Source organism: Homo sapiens, chromosome 8 (genome assembly GCF_000001405.40).
Source record: "Homo sapiens chromosome 8, GRCh38.p14 Primary Assembly".
NCBI lineage: Eukaryota > Metazoa > Chordata > Mammalia > Primates > Hominidae > Homo > Homo sapiens.
In genome coordinates, this window is record NC_000008.11 from 24,038,570 (window position 1) to 24,054,629 (window position 16,060).

General features: G+C 36.6%; 1 long non-coding RNA gene across 1 annotated transcript in view, besides 1 other annotated feature; it reads left to right on the top strand.

Moving 5' to 3' along the window:
• LOC107986931 (uncharacterized) overlaps window positions 1–16,060 on the top strand; it is a 290,196-nt gene that overhangs the window by 121,237 nt on the left and 152,899 nt on the right. The window lies entirely within an intron of this gene.
• Window positions 767–1,061: an enhancer, noted in NCBI's record as "tiled region #10080; HepG2 Activating DNase matched - State 5:Enh". NCBI's record gives its function as "activates a minimal TATA promoter and a strong SV40 promoter by Sharpr-MPRA in HepG2 cells {active_cell/tissue: HepG2}" and the evidence as "EXISTENCE:reporter gene assay evidence [ECO:0000049][PMID:27701403]".

The following is a 16,060-nucleotide window of genomic DNA, read 5'->3' on the forward strand; positions in this document are numbered from 1 at the left end:
CATCTTTGTGGAAAAGCAATTGACCTTAAATGTGTGGGTTGATTTTTGAACTCTTTATTCTGTTCCACTGGTCAGTGCATCTATGTTTATGCCAGTACCATTCTGTTTTAACTATGATAGCTTTGTAATATAATTTGAAGTTATTGTCTGTGAATTCTTAGAAGTGCCATGTTTTAACCACATCAGCATAAATTTAAATTTGAATATATTCTCAAGGAAAAAATTTTTTTTTAAAAATCTGTTTTGTTCAGTGATGTACCTAAGACATGGAAGACTCTTTGACGCATAGTAAACACTTAACAAATATTTGATGACCCAATGAATAAAATTCTACACAAAAAACAGCACAAAATAGTCTCCAGGTTCTTAATTCAGTCAGTGACTGTTTCTTTTATTACATTTTAAAAATGTCTAAAATTCTTATCTAAAAGGTATGAATTTTAAACAAAGAAGTCTCAGAACCTAAGGCACAGAACCCTAAGTTCTAATTATTGTACCAGGTTTTGCACTGGCCAAGAATACCCTCAGCATCTCTTCTCATGTTGGGATTCCTATGAAAAGGGAGAATAGATTATGTTGTTTTCCAGCTAGCTCATGTGAGGTTTCCACTGTGTTTTTCCATGTAGCCAACCTTCCAGATTTTATCCTTTATAATCTCTGCTTCCACCTCACCTTCCTTGTCTTCAGTGAAAACTGTTCTTTTCCATACAAATTTCAGATTGTGACTTTTATGTAAGATATTCCCATTCAGATGTCTTTTCTCAGCCTGTTGTAGCCTCCTGCCCTTTGTTTGAAAAGAGTGAAACATCATGAACTTTACTTTTTGACCTTTGAGCATTCATGGGGGAGACAGGGGAGAGAGGCGGCACAGAGGCCTGGGAGAATGCCTGCCTGTAAGCGGCTGTCATGGTTTGAGCCTCTAAAAGGGCAAGCCTGTTGCTAAGGAAACTGCTGCTCTAGGAGGGCTAAACATACAGTAAAATAGCAGGAAAGGAAGGCACAAATAAGTCAGATGCTTGGGGGAGGGGTGGCAGGAGGCAACCTAAGAACTTTAAACCTTTATTGCTGGGAACATATTGAAGGCTCTAGTGAGAAGAAAATCAAGCGTCTATATCCCTTCCTAGAAAATAGCTGAAATTTAAAGGAAGCCTAGACTTCATGTGAATGTCATTTTGCTTAGCACACAAGCAGAAAAACAGTGGCTGTCAATATTTCGTTAATATTTAGAAAGTATATAGCAATTTTCCAAATGTAATCATGTTCATTTGTAATATTCAGTATCATAAGAACACATTCATAATAGTCATCTTTTATTTTGTAGTCAATGCTTAAAGTAACTATAGATGTGGTGACTTTGGAAATTATGTAATACATATATTTTTAAATGAATAACTTTTCTTAAAAGAAAAGTAGTTATGCCCATAGTTAATGGTGTTCTCCATTTATTTCCTGTTATTTCTAACACAATAAGCCTTGAGTTACTTGAATGAATACATTTGCAAAATTAGGAAACATTAAAAAGATTATTTTTAACCTTACACTAAATATAAGGAGTATAACTTCAAAGTCATTTTCCTATTAATATAAAATAAGTCATTTTATAGCAGTGAAAGTTAGATTTTTAATATACAATGAGTTGGCACAACTAACATGGACAATCTTTGGAGTTTCCATTACCATTGTTTGTAAAACATCTGCTTGCATCAACAAACATTTCCTTTCCTTCTATCCTCTCATCTCCCAGAATAAGTCATCAGTCCAGATCAGTCCACCTAAAACTTTGGCTTTGAAAATATCCACCTTCTTGTTAGGCTACAAAGATTTTTATTTCAAAGGATGTTTTCCCAAAGTGTGTAAGATAGACCCATAGGAATTTTAAAATAAGGAGAATGCCTTATGAGTAACAAAAAGTTAAATTGAGCTGTGCAGAAATAAGTGAGAATGTGGCAGAAAGGTCAAGAAGCATGTACCACCTATGCCTACCATTGTGTAGATGCCAGGGATGGGGTGTGTGTGTGTATGTATGTGCACGAGTGTGCGCATGTGTATGGGTGCGGCAAGAAGAATGAAAGAGAAATTGAAGATATAAACATAGTTTGGGTGGAACCCAGAATCTAACAAAGTTACTTGGAAGGAACCCAGCTTATCCTTAATCAATGCTTTAGTTCAAGTAGGGGTTGACTTCTAGAGCTATGCAAGTTTTGGATTTTAAGTAAAACCTGCAGTGTATGCCTTGATGAACTCAACATACCAGGTCAGAAACCCTCTCCGATACCTCCTCTGGGACTTGGCAGCAAGTCACCAGACTTCATTGTAGTATAAGGTAGTGTTTGCCTTCGTTACATAGAAAATGTATAATTTTATAGCAAAAGGATGTTTGTTTTCTTTTAAAGTCATGCTAATTTTCTAACCCAATATTCTCTTGCAGATATTTTTAGAGAAGCTCTTGAGTTCTTAGTGATATTTACTAGGCAGTCTTAAGAAAAAATCAAAGTATCCCAAATGATGTAAGCTGATTTAAGTTAATTGTGAAAATGGAAAAAGCAAGAGTGACATAAAAGAAGGAAGATAGGAAGATAGCTGAGAACATGAAGATTAATTAAGTCAAAGGCAGATTAAAGTGGTTCATTTATTTTTAAAATTCTCTTTTTAAAAAATTATATTTTATTGTGTTAAGAGCACTTAGCATGAGATCTACCCTGTTAACAAATTTTAAGTGTACAATATGGTATTGTTGCCTGTAGGTACAATGTTGTACAGCAGATCTCTAGAATTATGAATCTCATTTAACTGAAACTTTATGACCATCGATTAGTAAGTCTCCATTTTCCCCTCACCCTAGACACTGGCAGCCACCATTCCACTCTTTGATTCTATGAATTTTTAAAAAATTTTATTTATTATTTATTTATTTTTGAGATGGAGTCTCGCTCTGTGGCCCAGGCTGGAGTTCAGTGGCGTGATATTGGCTCACTGCAACCTCCACCTCCCAGGTTCAAGTGATTCTCCTGCTTCAGTCTCTGGGTAGATGGAATTATAGGTTTGCACCACCACCACACCCAGCTAATTTTTGTATTTTTAGTAGAGACGGGGTTTCGCCATGTTGACCAGGCTGGTCTCGAACTCCTGCCCTCAGGTGATCCACCTGCCTCAGCCTCTCAAAGTGCTGGGATTACAGGCATGAGCCAACTTGCCTGGACTGATACTATGAATTTGATCATTTTAGGTATTTCATATAAGTAGAATCATGAAGCATTTCTTTTTGTGACTGTCTTATTTCACTTATCAATTATAAGGCCTGACTGAATTCCAGGCACTGTGCTAGGTACAGTGTGGGAATATAAGATTAATAACATGCAGTTCATTTCCTCAAATAGCTCACACTCTAATATGTGGCATAAGGATAGAATTTATGGAAATAATTATATAACTTTCTATGTGACTTATTTTCTACTTGATAGCATTTAAATACAAGAAAGTATTAAAATCATTTGTTATATTTCCTTTCATGAAAGATTAAGATAATATTTCTTGATTAAAATGATAATCTGTTTTATAATACTACTTTTTGGTTAGTGACGGACTTTGGAAAAAATGAACAGTATTATATATATACTAATATATGCACTACTGTGTATATATTATACTAATAAGGTTTGAGAATATGCAAACACTTTCACACTAATCTTGCTTGATTTGCACAAGGTCAGTGTAGGATTTATTACCTTATTGCATGGATACAGAAGTGAATGGCTTTTGCAAAGTAACTTGGTTTCGACAAAGCCATTTGCTTTCTGAAAGGCACTTGGCTAGTAAGAGCTAGTTCTAGTCTAGATCTTAAACAACAAATATTCTTCTTCCTTCTGCCTTCTGGAAATATGTAGGCAATTTTTTTAAAAAAAGAATATTTAGTCTGATTCTAAAAGTATTATACTGTATACATTTTAGAGTGAAAAGTATTTTTCTTTTCACTGGGATCTAAAATATAAACAATGCAGTGTATAAAGCACATATATCTTTGGTGTACAGATTGATGAAATTTATAATATATCAGGTAACTATCAGTGAGATTAAAGTACAGAACATTTCTATAGCCCAGAAATGCTGCCATGAACCTTTTGAGTAAATATCTTTTCTCCTTCCACAATGACTCATGAGGGTAGCCACTATTCTGACTCCTATTACCATAGGTTAGTTTTACATGTTCTTGACCTTTTGTAAATGGAATCTTCCCATATGTTGGCTTTTGTGTCTGGCTTCTTTTGCCTTGAATTTTAACTACGAGAGTCATCCATGTAGTTGCTTGAATTCAGTTTTAAAAAGTTACTGTATAGTATTTCATTATATTCATAGTATGAATATATTATAATTTTTAAATGCTTGCTACCATTGATGGCTATTTCAGTTAAAGATTTTGGCTATTATGAATAAAACTTCTATGAGCACCTTGCACATACTTTCCCCCCTGGTGGACGTGGGCAGAAATTCCTCGTGTATGTATACGCACACACCCACCCACACAGACACACACGCATACACATATCAATGAGTGGAATTGTTGGTTATTCCACTCAATTCCAATGAGTGGAATTGTAGATTATTGAGATAGGCATATATTAAGCTTTAGAAGACACTGCCAAACAATTTTCCAAAGTGTTTAAAACCAGCTTACATTCCCACCAAAAATTTAAGAGAGTTCTAATTTATTCACTTTCTCATTGACTTAATGGTGCTGTCAATCTTTGATTATAGGTATCCTGGGTATGTTCATAAAGATATACCATTATGGATTTAATTTACATTTCCCAAATGAATACTGATTTTGAGCACCTTTTCACATGCTCAGTGGCTAGTTAGAATTTCTCTTTTGCTCCTGTTTAAAGTCTTTTGCATATTTTAAATCCTAAGCCAAAATAACAAAGCCAGAGGTATCACATTACCTGACCTCAAACTATACTGCAAGTTTACAGTAACAAAAACAGCATGGTACTGGTACAAAAACGACACATAGACCAATGGAACACGATTGAGAACCCAGAAATAATCATCTGATATTTGACAAAGTCAACAAAAATAAGCATTGGGGAAAAGACTCCCTATTCAATAAATAGTGCTGGGATAACTTGCTATCCATATGCAGAAGAGTGAAACTTGACCTCTGCCTATCACCATATACAAAAATTATCTCAAAATGGATTAAAGACTTAAATGTAAGAGCTGAAACTGTAAAAAATAATTCTAGAAGAAAATGTAGGAAATATCCTTCTCTAGATTGATCTTGACAAAGAATTTATGGCTAAGTCATCAAAAGCAATTGATGTCAATTAATGATGTCAACCTACAAATCCTTTGCAGTTACAGAAAACACAGTCATTGGCAGGAATCAGTTTGTGATCCACTCTTGTTGGCCTCTGACTTCAGTTTTCTTTTTATTGATACGTTCCTTTGAGTTTGGAATTTGAGATTGCTACTGAACTCAGAATTATTTGAATCCCTTCAATCTTTTCCTGCATTTTAAAAGTGCTTATATATCATAAAGACTTGACTTTCCTTGAGTTTACGCAATACTTGTTAAATTTTATGGGCCTACTGTCTTTTTTGTTAATTGTTTGGCTTTCTAATTTTTTGATGTGTAATTCATATACTATAAAACTGACGTATTTCATATGGTTTGAACCATGTAAACAACACCACTATCGAGATATAGAATAGTATTTCTTTCATGCCAAGTGGGCCCTTGGGCCCATTCCTAGAAAATTCCTTCTGCATCTCGTCCCCAGGTGACCAATGACCCACTTTATACAAATATTGATCAGATTTGTTGTTTCTACAGATTTATATAAGTGTACCCATACAGTGGAGTATTACTCTTTTGTATCGGGTTTGGTTATATTTTAGTGCTTAGCAGTGTTCCATTTTGTTAAATATATCAAAATTTGTCCTAAAAAAATGACCTATTGGGTACTGTGCTTACTCCCTCAGTAACAGGATCATTCATACTCAAAATCTTAGCATCATACAATATATCCATGTGAAAAGACCTGTATATGTACCTCATGAGTCTAGAAAAGTTGAAAATAAAAAAAAAATCCATTCATCTATGGACATTTAGATTGTTCTAGTTTTTCAATAAAACTGCTTATAGATATTGATATTTAAGTATTTGTGTGGACATATGTTTTCATTACTCTTGCATAATTATCTAGAAGTTGACATGTTGGCTCATATGGAAAGTGTGTGTTTATAAGAAATAGCTAAACTGTTTCTCAAAGTTGTTATACTATTTTACAGCCTTACCTGCAATGAATAAGAATTTGAGTTACTTCATGTTCTCCTCAGTGCTGAGTACTGTCATTTGAAATTTTTTAACCATTTTATTGGGGGTGTGATATGGTTAGGCTTTGTGTTCCCACCCACATCTCATCTTGAATTGTAATCCCCATAATCTCCATATGTCAAGGGAGAGAACAGGTGAAGATAATTGAATCATGGGAGCAGTTTTCTCCATGCTGTTCTCATGATAGTGCGTTCTCATGGGATATAGTATGATGGTTTTTATAAAGGGCTCTTCCTCTCACTCCGCACTTGTCCTTCCTCCCACCTTGTGAAGAAGGTGCCTTGTTTCCCCTTCGCCTTCCAGCATGATTGTAAGTTTCCTGAGGCCTCCCCAGCCATGGTGAACTGTGAGTCAATTAAACCTCTCTCCTTTCTAAATTACCCAGTCTCAGGCAGTTCTTTTTTTTTTTTTTTTTTTTTGAGATGGAGTCTCGCTCTGTCGCCCAGGCTGGAGTGCAGTGGCGCGATCTCGGCTCACTGCAAGCTCCGCCTCCCGGGTTCACGCCATTCTCCTGCCTCAGCCTCCCGAGTAGCTGGGACTACAGGCGCCCACCACCACGCCTGGCTAATTTTTTTTTTGTATTTTTAGTAGAGACGGGGTTTCACCATGTTAGCCAGGATGGTCTCGATCTCCTGACCTCGTGATCCGCCCGCCTCGGCCTCCCAAAGTGCTGGGATTACAGGCGTGAGCCACCGCGCCCGGCCTTAGGCAGTTCTTTATAGTGGTATGAAAACGAATTAATACAGAGTGCAGTACTACACTACGGTTTTACTTTGAATTTTCATGATGTCTAATGATTTTCCTGTGGTTATTGGCAATTTATGTATTTTCTTTTGTGAGCTATCTGTTCAAATCTTTGCTCATTTTTAAAACTGGGGTTTTGACTTTGATGGGGCCAAGATGGCCCATTAGAAGCAGTGGCAATTGAAGGCTCCCATCAAAAAGAAACATAACAGAATGCAAATCCTGGACTGGCAACTGAGGTATCCAGGTTCTGTCATCAGAACTGACTAGGCATCTGACATGACCCATGGAGAAGGGAGGAAGAGCAGTGTGGTGCGGTGGCCCAACTGAGAGCCACACAGGGCTCAGGGGATCCCCCGGCCAGGGGAGGTGGTGAGTGAGCATGCTACCCAGCCTGGGAAAACATGCTTTTTCCATGGAACTGTGCAACCCACGGATCAGAAGATCCCACTCGCAAGCCCATGCCACAGGGGCCTAGGATCCCAGCCACGGAGCTGTGCAGATTCTCAACAGCCACCAAGCTAGAATAGGTTTAAACCTGCCCAGCTCCCAGTGGGAGGAGTGAACAGCACCACAGCTGCAGCTGCCTGCTGTCTAAGCTGTTTGAGCTCCTTGGGGGAGGGGTGACAGTTAACACTGGGACTGATAGCTGCCTAACATACTAAGTTCCCAGGGTCGGGGAGGGGCAGCAGCCATCTCTATAGCTTCAGGCTGTGCTTTTTTCCTGCTGGAACTAGAAAGGCTGGACAGCATGGTCACAAGAGCTATCCCCCACGGTCCAACACACCGGCTGTGGGAGACTGTGGACAGAGTGCCTCTTCAGGCCTGACCCTGACCCATCCCTCTTCAGTGGGTGGGACTTCCCTGCAGGAACTCCAGTAATTCCAGCCAGGGGCTCAGGGACAGAACTCTGATCTCTCTGGGCCTGAGCCCCTAGGGGTAAGGGGAGGCGCAGTCTCCAAGGAGCAGCAGACTTAGTCTTTCCTCCTGCTAGTTCTGAGGAATCCAGGCAGCCCTGATGAGTGGGTTTCCACCCAGCAAAGCACACCCCCTTCACCAAGGGACAGTCAAAGTGCTTTGTTAAATGGGTCCTGCTTCCTGTGCCACCCAACTGGATGAGACCCTCCAATGAGTTGTCAGATACCCTATATAGGAGCATTCCTACTGACATAAGGTTGGTGCCCCTCGAGGTCAGAGATCCCAGAGGAAGAAGGAGGCATCCATCTTTGCTGTTCTCCGGCCTCCTTGAGTGACATCTCCAGGTGCAGGAGTGAACCAGATGAATAGGGCGTGAGGTGAACCCCCAGCAAACCACAGCAGTCCTACAGAGAGGGACCTGATCATTGCAAGGAAAACAAAGCAACAACAAACAGCATCAACAAAAAAGTCCCCACAAAGAAAAACCCATTCCAAGTGTCAGCAGCCTCAAAGATTGATACTAGACAAACTCATGAAGATGAGAATCAATGAAAAACTGCTGAAAATCCAAAAGGCCAGAGTGCCTTCTCTTCTCCAGATTATTGCAACACCTCTCCAGCAAGGGCACAGAACCAGAGGGAGAATAAGATGGATGAACTGATAGAAGTAGGCTTCAGAAGGTGTGTAATAACAAACTCTGCTGAGCTAAAGGAGCATGTTCTAACCCATTGCAAAGAAATTAAGAACCTTGATAAAATGTTACAGGAGCTGCTAACTAGAATAACTAATTTAGAGAGGAACATAAATTACCTGATGGAGCTGAAAAACACAGCATGACCAAGCAGAAGAAAGGATATCAGAGTTTGAAGACCAATTTGCTGAAATAAGACATGCAGATAAGATTAAAAAAAAAAAAAAAAGGAACAAACAAAACCTCTGAGAAATACGGGACTATGTAAAAAGACCAAACCTATGATTGATTGGAGCACCTGAAAGAGGAAGAATAGAACTAAGTTGGAAAACATACTTGAGGATATTATCCAGGAGAACTTCCCAACCTAGCAAGACAGGCCAACATTAAAATTCAGGAAATACAGAGAATGCCACTAAGATGCTCCATGAGAAGATCAACCCCAAGACCCATAATCATCAGAGTCTCCAAGGTCAAAACGAAGGAAAAAATGTTAAGGGCAGCCAGAGAGGAAGGCCAGGTCACCTACAAAGGGAAGCCCATCAGACTAACAGCAGACCTCACAGCAGAAACCCTACAAGCCAAAAGAGAGTGGGGGCAAATATTCTACATTCTTAAAATAATTTTCAACCCAGAATTTCATATCCAGCCAAACTAATCTTTGTAAGTGAAGGAGAAATAAAATCCTTTTGAGACAAGCAAATGCTGAGGGATTTCATCACCACCAGGCCTGCCTTGCAAGAGATTCTGAAGGAAGCACAAAATATGGAAAGGAAAAACTGGTACCAGCCACTGCAAAAACACTCCAAAATATAAAGACCAATGACACCATGAAGAAACTGCATCAACCAGTGGGCCAAATAACCCGACAGCATCATGATGACAGGATCAAATTCACATAGAACAATATTGACCTTAAATGTAGATGAGCTAAATGTCCCAAGTAAAAGACAGACTGGCAAATTGGATAAAGAGTCAAGACCCGTCAGTGTGCTGTATTCAGGAGACCCATCTCATGTGCAAAGACACATATAGGCTCAAACAGATGGAGGAAAATTTACCAAGCAAATGGAAATAAAAAAAAATGCAGGAGTTTTGCAATCCTAGTCTCTGACACAAACCAGACATTAAATCAACAACGATCAAAAAAGACAAAGAAGGGCATTACATAATGGTAAAGGGATCAATTCAACAAGAAGAGCTAACTATCCTAAATACATATGTACCCAGTACAGGAGCACCCAGATTCATAAAACAAGTTCTTAGAAAGTTCTTAGAGGACCCACAAAGAGACTTAGAGTCCCACACAATAATAGTGGGAGACTTAAACACTGCACTGCCAATATTAGATCAACGAGGCAGAAAATTAACAAGGATCTTCAGGAGTTGAACTCAGCTCTGGATCAAGTGGAACTAATAGACATTTACAGAGCTCTCCACCCCAAATCAACAGAATATACATTCTTCTCAGTGCCACATGACACTTATTCTAAAATTGACCACATAATTGGAAGGAAAACACTCCTCAGCAAATACGAAAGAACTGAAATCATAAGTCTGTCAGACCACAGTGCAATCAAATTAGAAGTCACGATTAAGAAACTCAAAACCACACAACTACATGGAAATTGAACAACGTGCTCCTGAATGACTCCTGGGTAAATAATGAAATTAAGACATAAGAAGTTCTTTGAAATCAATGAGAACAAAGAGACAATGTACCAGAATCTCTGGGACATAGCTAAAGCAGTGTTAAGAGGGAAATCTATAGCATTAAATGCCCACATCAGAATGCTAGAAAGATCTCAAATTGACACCCTAATTATCACAATTAAAAGAGCTAGAGGAACACAGTAAACGAATCCAAAAGCTAGCAGAAGGCAAGAAATAACTAAGAGCAGAACTGAAGGAGATAGAGATAGGAAAACCCTTCAAAAAATCAATGAATCCAGGAGCTGCTTTTTGGAAAAATTAACAACATAGATTACTAGCTAGACTAATAGAGAAGAATCAAATAGACACAATAAAAAATAATAAAGGGGATATCACAACTGATCCCACAAAATAAAGAGCTCTATGCAAATAAACTAGAAAACCTAGAAGAAAGGGATAAATTCCTGGACATGTACACCCACCTGAGACTAAACCAGGAAGAAGTTGAATCCCTGAATAGACCAATAACAAGTTCCAAAATTGAGGCAGTAATTAATAGCTTGCCAACCAAAAAACACCCAGGAACAGATGGATTCACAGCAGAGTTCTACCAAAGATACAAAGAAGAGCTGGTACCATTCCTTCTGAAACTATACCAAGCAATTAAAAAGGAGGGACTCCTCCCTAACTCATTTTATGAGGCCAAGTATCATCCTAATACCAAAACCTGGCAGAGACATAACAACAAAAAACTTCAGGCCAATATCCCTGATGAATGACAGTGTAAAAATCCTCAATAAAATATTAGCAAACTGAATCCAGCAGCACATCAAAAAGCTTATTCAGTTATCAAGTCAGCTTCAACCCTGGGATGCAAGGCTGGTTCAACATAGGCAAATCAATACACGTAAATCATCATATAAACAGAACCAATGACAAAAACCACATGATCATCTCAATAGATGCAGAAAAGGCCTTTGATAAAATTCAACACCACTTCATGTTAAAAGCTGTCAATAAACTAGGTATTTATGGAACATATCTCAAAATATTAGCCATTTATGACAAACCAATAACCAATATCATACTGAATGGGCAAAAGCTGGAAGCATTCCCTTTGAAAACCAGCACAAGACAAGGATATGTTCTCTCTCACCACTCCTATTCACTATAGTAGTGGAAGTTCTGGCTAGGGCAACAGGCAAGAGAAAGAAAGGATATTCAAATAGGAAGAAAGGAAGTCAAATTCTGTCTCTTTGCAGATGACATGATTCTTTATTTAGAAAACCCCATCATCTCAGCCCAAAAACTCCTTAAGTGGATAAGCAACTTCAGCAAAGTCTCAGTATACAAAATCAATGTGCAAAAAACACAATTTCTATGCACCAACAATAGACAAGCAGACAGCCAAATCATGAGTGAACCCCCATTCACAACTGCTACAAAGAGAATAAAATACATAGGAATAGAACTTGAAAGGGGATGTGAAATATCTCTTCAAGGAGAACTACAAACCACTGCTCAAGGAAATAAGAGAGGACACAAACAAATGGAAAAACATTCCATGCTCACAGGTAGGAAGAATCAATATCGTGAGAATGGCCATACTGCCCAAAGTAATTTATAGATTCAATGCTATTCCCATCAAATTACCATTGACATTCTTCACAGAATTAGAAAAAACCAGTTTAAATTTCATATGGAACCAAGAAAGAGCCCATATAGCCAAGATAATCCTAAGCAAAAAGAACAAAAATGGAGACATCATTCTGCTCGATTTCAAACTACACTGCAAGGCTACAGTTATCAAAACAGCATGGTATTGGTACCAAAACAGACATATAGACCAATGGAACAGAATAGAGACCTCAGAAATAACACCACACATCTACAACCATCTGATCTTTGAGAAACCAGAAAAAGGCAATGAGGAAAGGATTCCCTATTTAATAAATGGTGCTGGGAAAACTGGTTAGCCATATTAAGGAAATTGAAACTGGACCCCTTCCTCACATCTTATACAAAAATTAACTCAAGATGGAGTAAAGACTTAAATGTAAAACCCCAAACCATAAAAACCCTAGAAGAAAACCTAGGCAATACCATTCTGGACATGGGTGTAGGCAAAGACTTCATGACAAAAACACCAAAGGCAATGGCAACAATGGCCAAAATTGACAAATGGGATCTAATTAAAGAGCTTCTTCACAGCAAAATAAACTATCATCAGAGTGAATAGGCAACCTACAGAATGGAAGAAAATTTTTGCAAGCTACCTGTCTGACAAAGGTCTAATATCCAGAATCTACAAGGAACTTAAATTTACAAGAAAAGAACAACCCCATCAAAAAGTAGGCAAAGGATATGAACAGACACTTCTCAAAAGAAGACATTTATGCTGCCAACAACATATGAAATCTCATCATCACTGATAGAGAAATGCAAGTCAAAACCACAATGAGATAACATTTCATGCCAGTCAGAATGGTGATTATTAAAAAGTCAAGAAACAACAGATGCTAGTGAGGCTGTGGGGAAATAGGAATGCTTTTACACTGTTGGTGGGAATATAAATTGGTTCAACCATTACAGAAGACAGTGTGGAAATTCCTCAAGGATCTAGAACCAGAAATACCATTTGACCCAGCAATCCCATTTCCTGGGTCAAAGGAAAATAAGTCATTCTACTGTAAAGACACATGCACACGTATGTTAATTGCAGGACTATTTACAATAGCAAAAACATGGAATCAACCCAAATGCTGATCAATGATAGACTGAATAAAGAAAATGTGGTACATATACACCAATAAATACTATGCAGCCATAAAAAGGAATGAGATCATGTCCTTTGCAGGGACATGGATGGAGCTGGAAGCCATCATCCTCAGGTAACTAACACAGGAACAGAAAACCGCATGTTCTCACTCACAAGTGGGAGCTGAACAATGAGAACACATGGACAGAGGGAGAGGAACAACACACACTGGGGCCAATCGACGGGTGGGAGACAAGGGGAGGGAGAGCCTTAGGACAAATAGCTAATGCATGCGGGACTTAAAACCTAGATAATGAGTTGATAGGTGCAGGAAACCATGATGGTACACATATACCTGTGCAACAAACCTGCATGTTCTGCACTTGTATCCTGGAACTTAAAGTAGAATAAAAAATAAAATAAAATTGGGGTTTGTCTTTTTTTTTTTTTCTGAGTTGCAAGAGTTCTTTGTATTTTCTGGCTAAAAGTTCTTTGTCAGACATATGCATTAACAAATTTTATACCAACTTCTGGCTTGTTTGTATTTTTTTTAACAATACCTTTGACAAAGTAGATGTTTTAAATTTTGATAAACACATTTAATTTTTTTATAATGTGGGCTTTTGTATCCTATCTAAAAATCTTTGTCTACTTCCAATGTTGCAAAGAATTTTTTATCTGTGTTTTCTTCTAAAGTTTTGCAATTTTAGCCTTTACATCTAACTCTATGTTCCATCTTAAGGTAATTTCTACACATGCAGTAAAGGAAGGATCAAAGTTATTTATGCATTTTTTTTTCATATGGATATTTAGTTGTTCTAGCACCATTTGTTAGAAACTCTTTTTTCCACATTAAATACCCTGGGGTGTTTTTGGCCATAAATTAACAAATATATATGGATCTATTTCTGTACTCTATTTTCTTGATTTATGTTTATTCATTTCTAATGTCACATTCTCTTCACTACTTAACTTTATAATAATTATTGAAATTAGGTAGCATGATTACTTTATCTTTGTTCTTTTTCAAAATTAATTTGGATATTCCAGGTTTTTTGGATGTGCAAGTAAACTTAGAATCTATTTATTTTTAATTTTCGTGGGTACATAGTAGTTGTATATATATTTATTGGGTACATGGGATGTTTTGATACAGGCATGCAATGTGTAATAATAACTTCATGGGCAAGAGGGTATCCACCCCTCAAGCATTTATCCTTTGAGTTACAAACAAACCAATTATAGTCTTATTCAAAATTTACCTAAAATACATAATTTATTTAAAATACAATTAAGTTATTGACTATATTCCCCTGTTGTACTATCAAATAGTAGATCTTATTCTTTCTGTTTTTTTGGTACCCATTCAATTTATTAGTATCTTCAAAAAGCTTGCTGGAATTTTTATTGAGGTTATTAATTTGAGTAGATTTGACATCTCAAAATACTGTGTCTTATGAACCATGAGCATATTATATCCTTCCATTTATATAGAGCTTCTTGAATTTCTCTCATAAATATCTTAGAGTTTTCAGTAAAATGGTTTGGTACACATTTTGTTAAATTTCATATAATTTCATTGTTTTTCTACTGTTTTAAATGGTGTTGCTTTACATTTTAATTTCCAAAATTGTTCTCTGTTAGTATAGAGTTAGTATATGCTATATATACACTAACTCTAGTTAGTATATAGTAAGAGAGTTTCCTTGATCTTATATTCCTAAGTCTTGCTGAATTATTAGTTCTAGTAGCACTTTTTATGGATTCTTTAGGATTTTCTGTGTACAACTAAGTCTTCTACAAAGAAAGACACTTTTACTTCTTCCCTTACCATCTTATGCTTTTAGATACCTTTCTTTTCTTATTGCACCATTTCATGCTCTTAGTACATTACAAACTACAAAGAGTGAGAGTGAACATCCCTCTTTTTTGTAAAGTCTTAGAACAAAAATCATTTTTTTATGTTGCAGATTTTTTGCATGTATCTTTGATTAAGGTGAACAAGGTCGTTTCTGCTGCTGTTATTCTGAGAGTTTAACCATGATTACATGTTAATTTCTGTTTCATGCCTTTTCTGCTATTTTAAAATGGTTATACATGTTTTTATTTTATCAGTATAATGAATTGATTCTTTGAATGTTAACCAATTTAATATTCAATCCACTCACATTGTATTATCATGCTTCTATTTCTGGATTCAATTAGCTATAATTTTGATAAATATCTTTATGTTTGTGAAAAATATTCGTCTATAGTTTTTGGATTGTCTGTTAACTTGATTAAATTGTCTGTTTTTATTTGACTTTTTTAAAAAAAATTAGGGTAATGCCTCATAAAATGCGTCAGGGAGTGTTTTCTTCTCTACTATTTTCTAAGAGACTTTATGTAGGAATATATTGATATTAAATTTTCCCCTTAAATATTTGATGTAATTCAACAGTTAAGACATTACAGTCTGGATTTTTTATTATAAAGATGTTTTAAGTTACCAATTCATTTTAATACTTGAAAGCCTATTTATATTTTCTGTTTCTTATATCAATGAATTTATCAACTTTACCTTAGTTACACAATTAAATAGCAAAAAATTATTCACAGTATTACTTTAAAAATATCTATAAGGTCTATATTGAATTTTTTCATTTGTGATACTTATTATCTCCTGACATCTCTTCTTTCAGTTTCAGTCTACATGAAAGTTTCTCAATTACAGCTGACCCTTGAACAATGCAGGGGTTTTTATGGCTGTTATTTGGTATATTTTTCTCAATTCTTTTGCTTTGAAAATATCCAAGACTTTAGGTGTAAGAAACATTTTTGCAGATAGTAAGTACTTGAATCTTTTTTAAAAAATTCAGTCTGACATTCTCTGTGTTTTAATCAATGTATTTTAGACTATTCACATTTAAAGTGATTGGTAACACAGTTCAATTAATGTCCGCCATGTTTTAATGGTTTT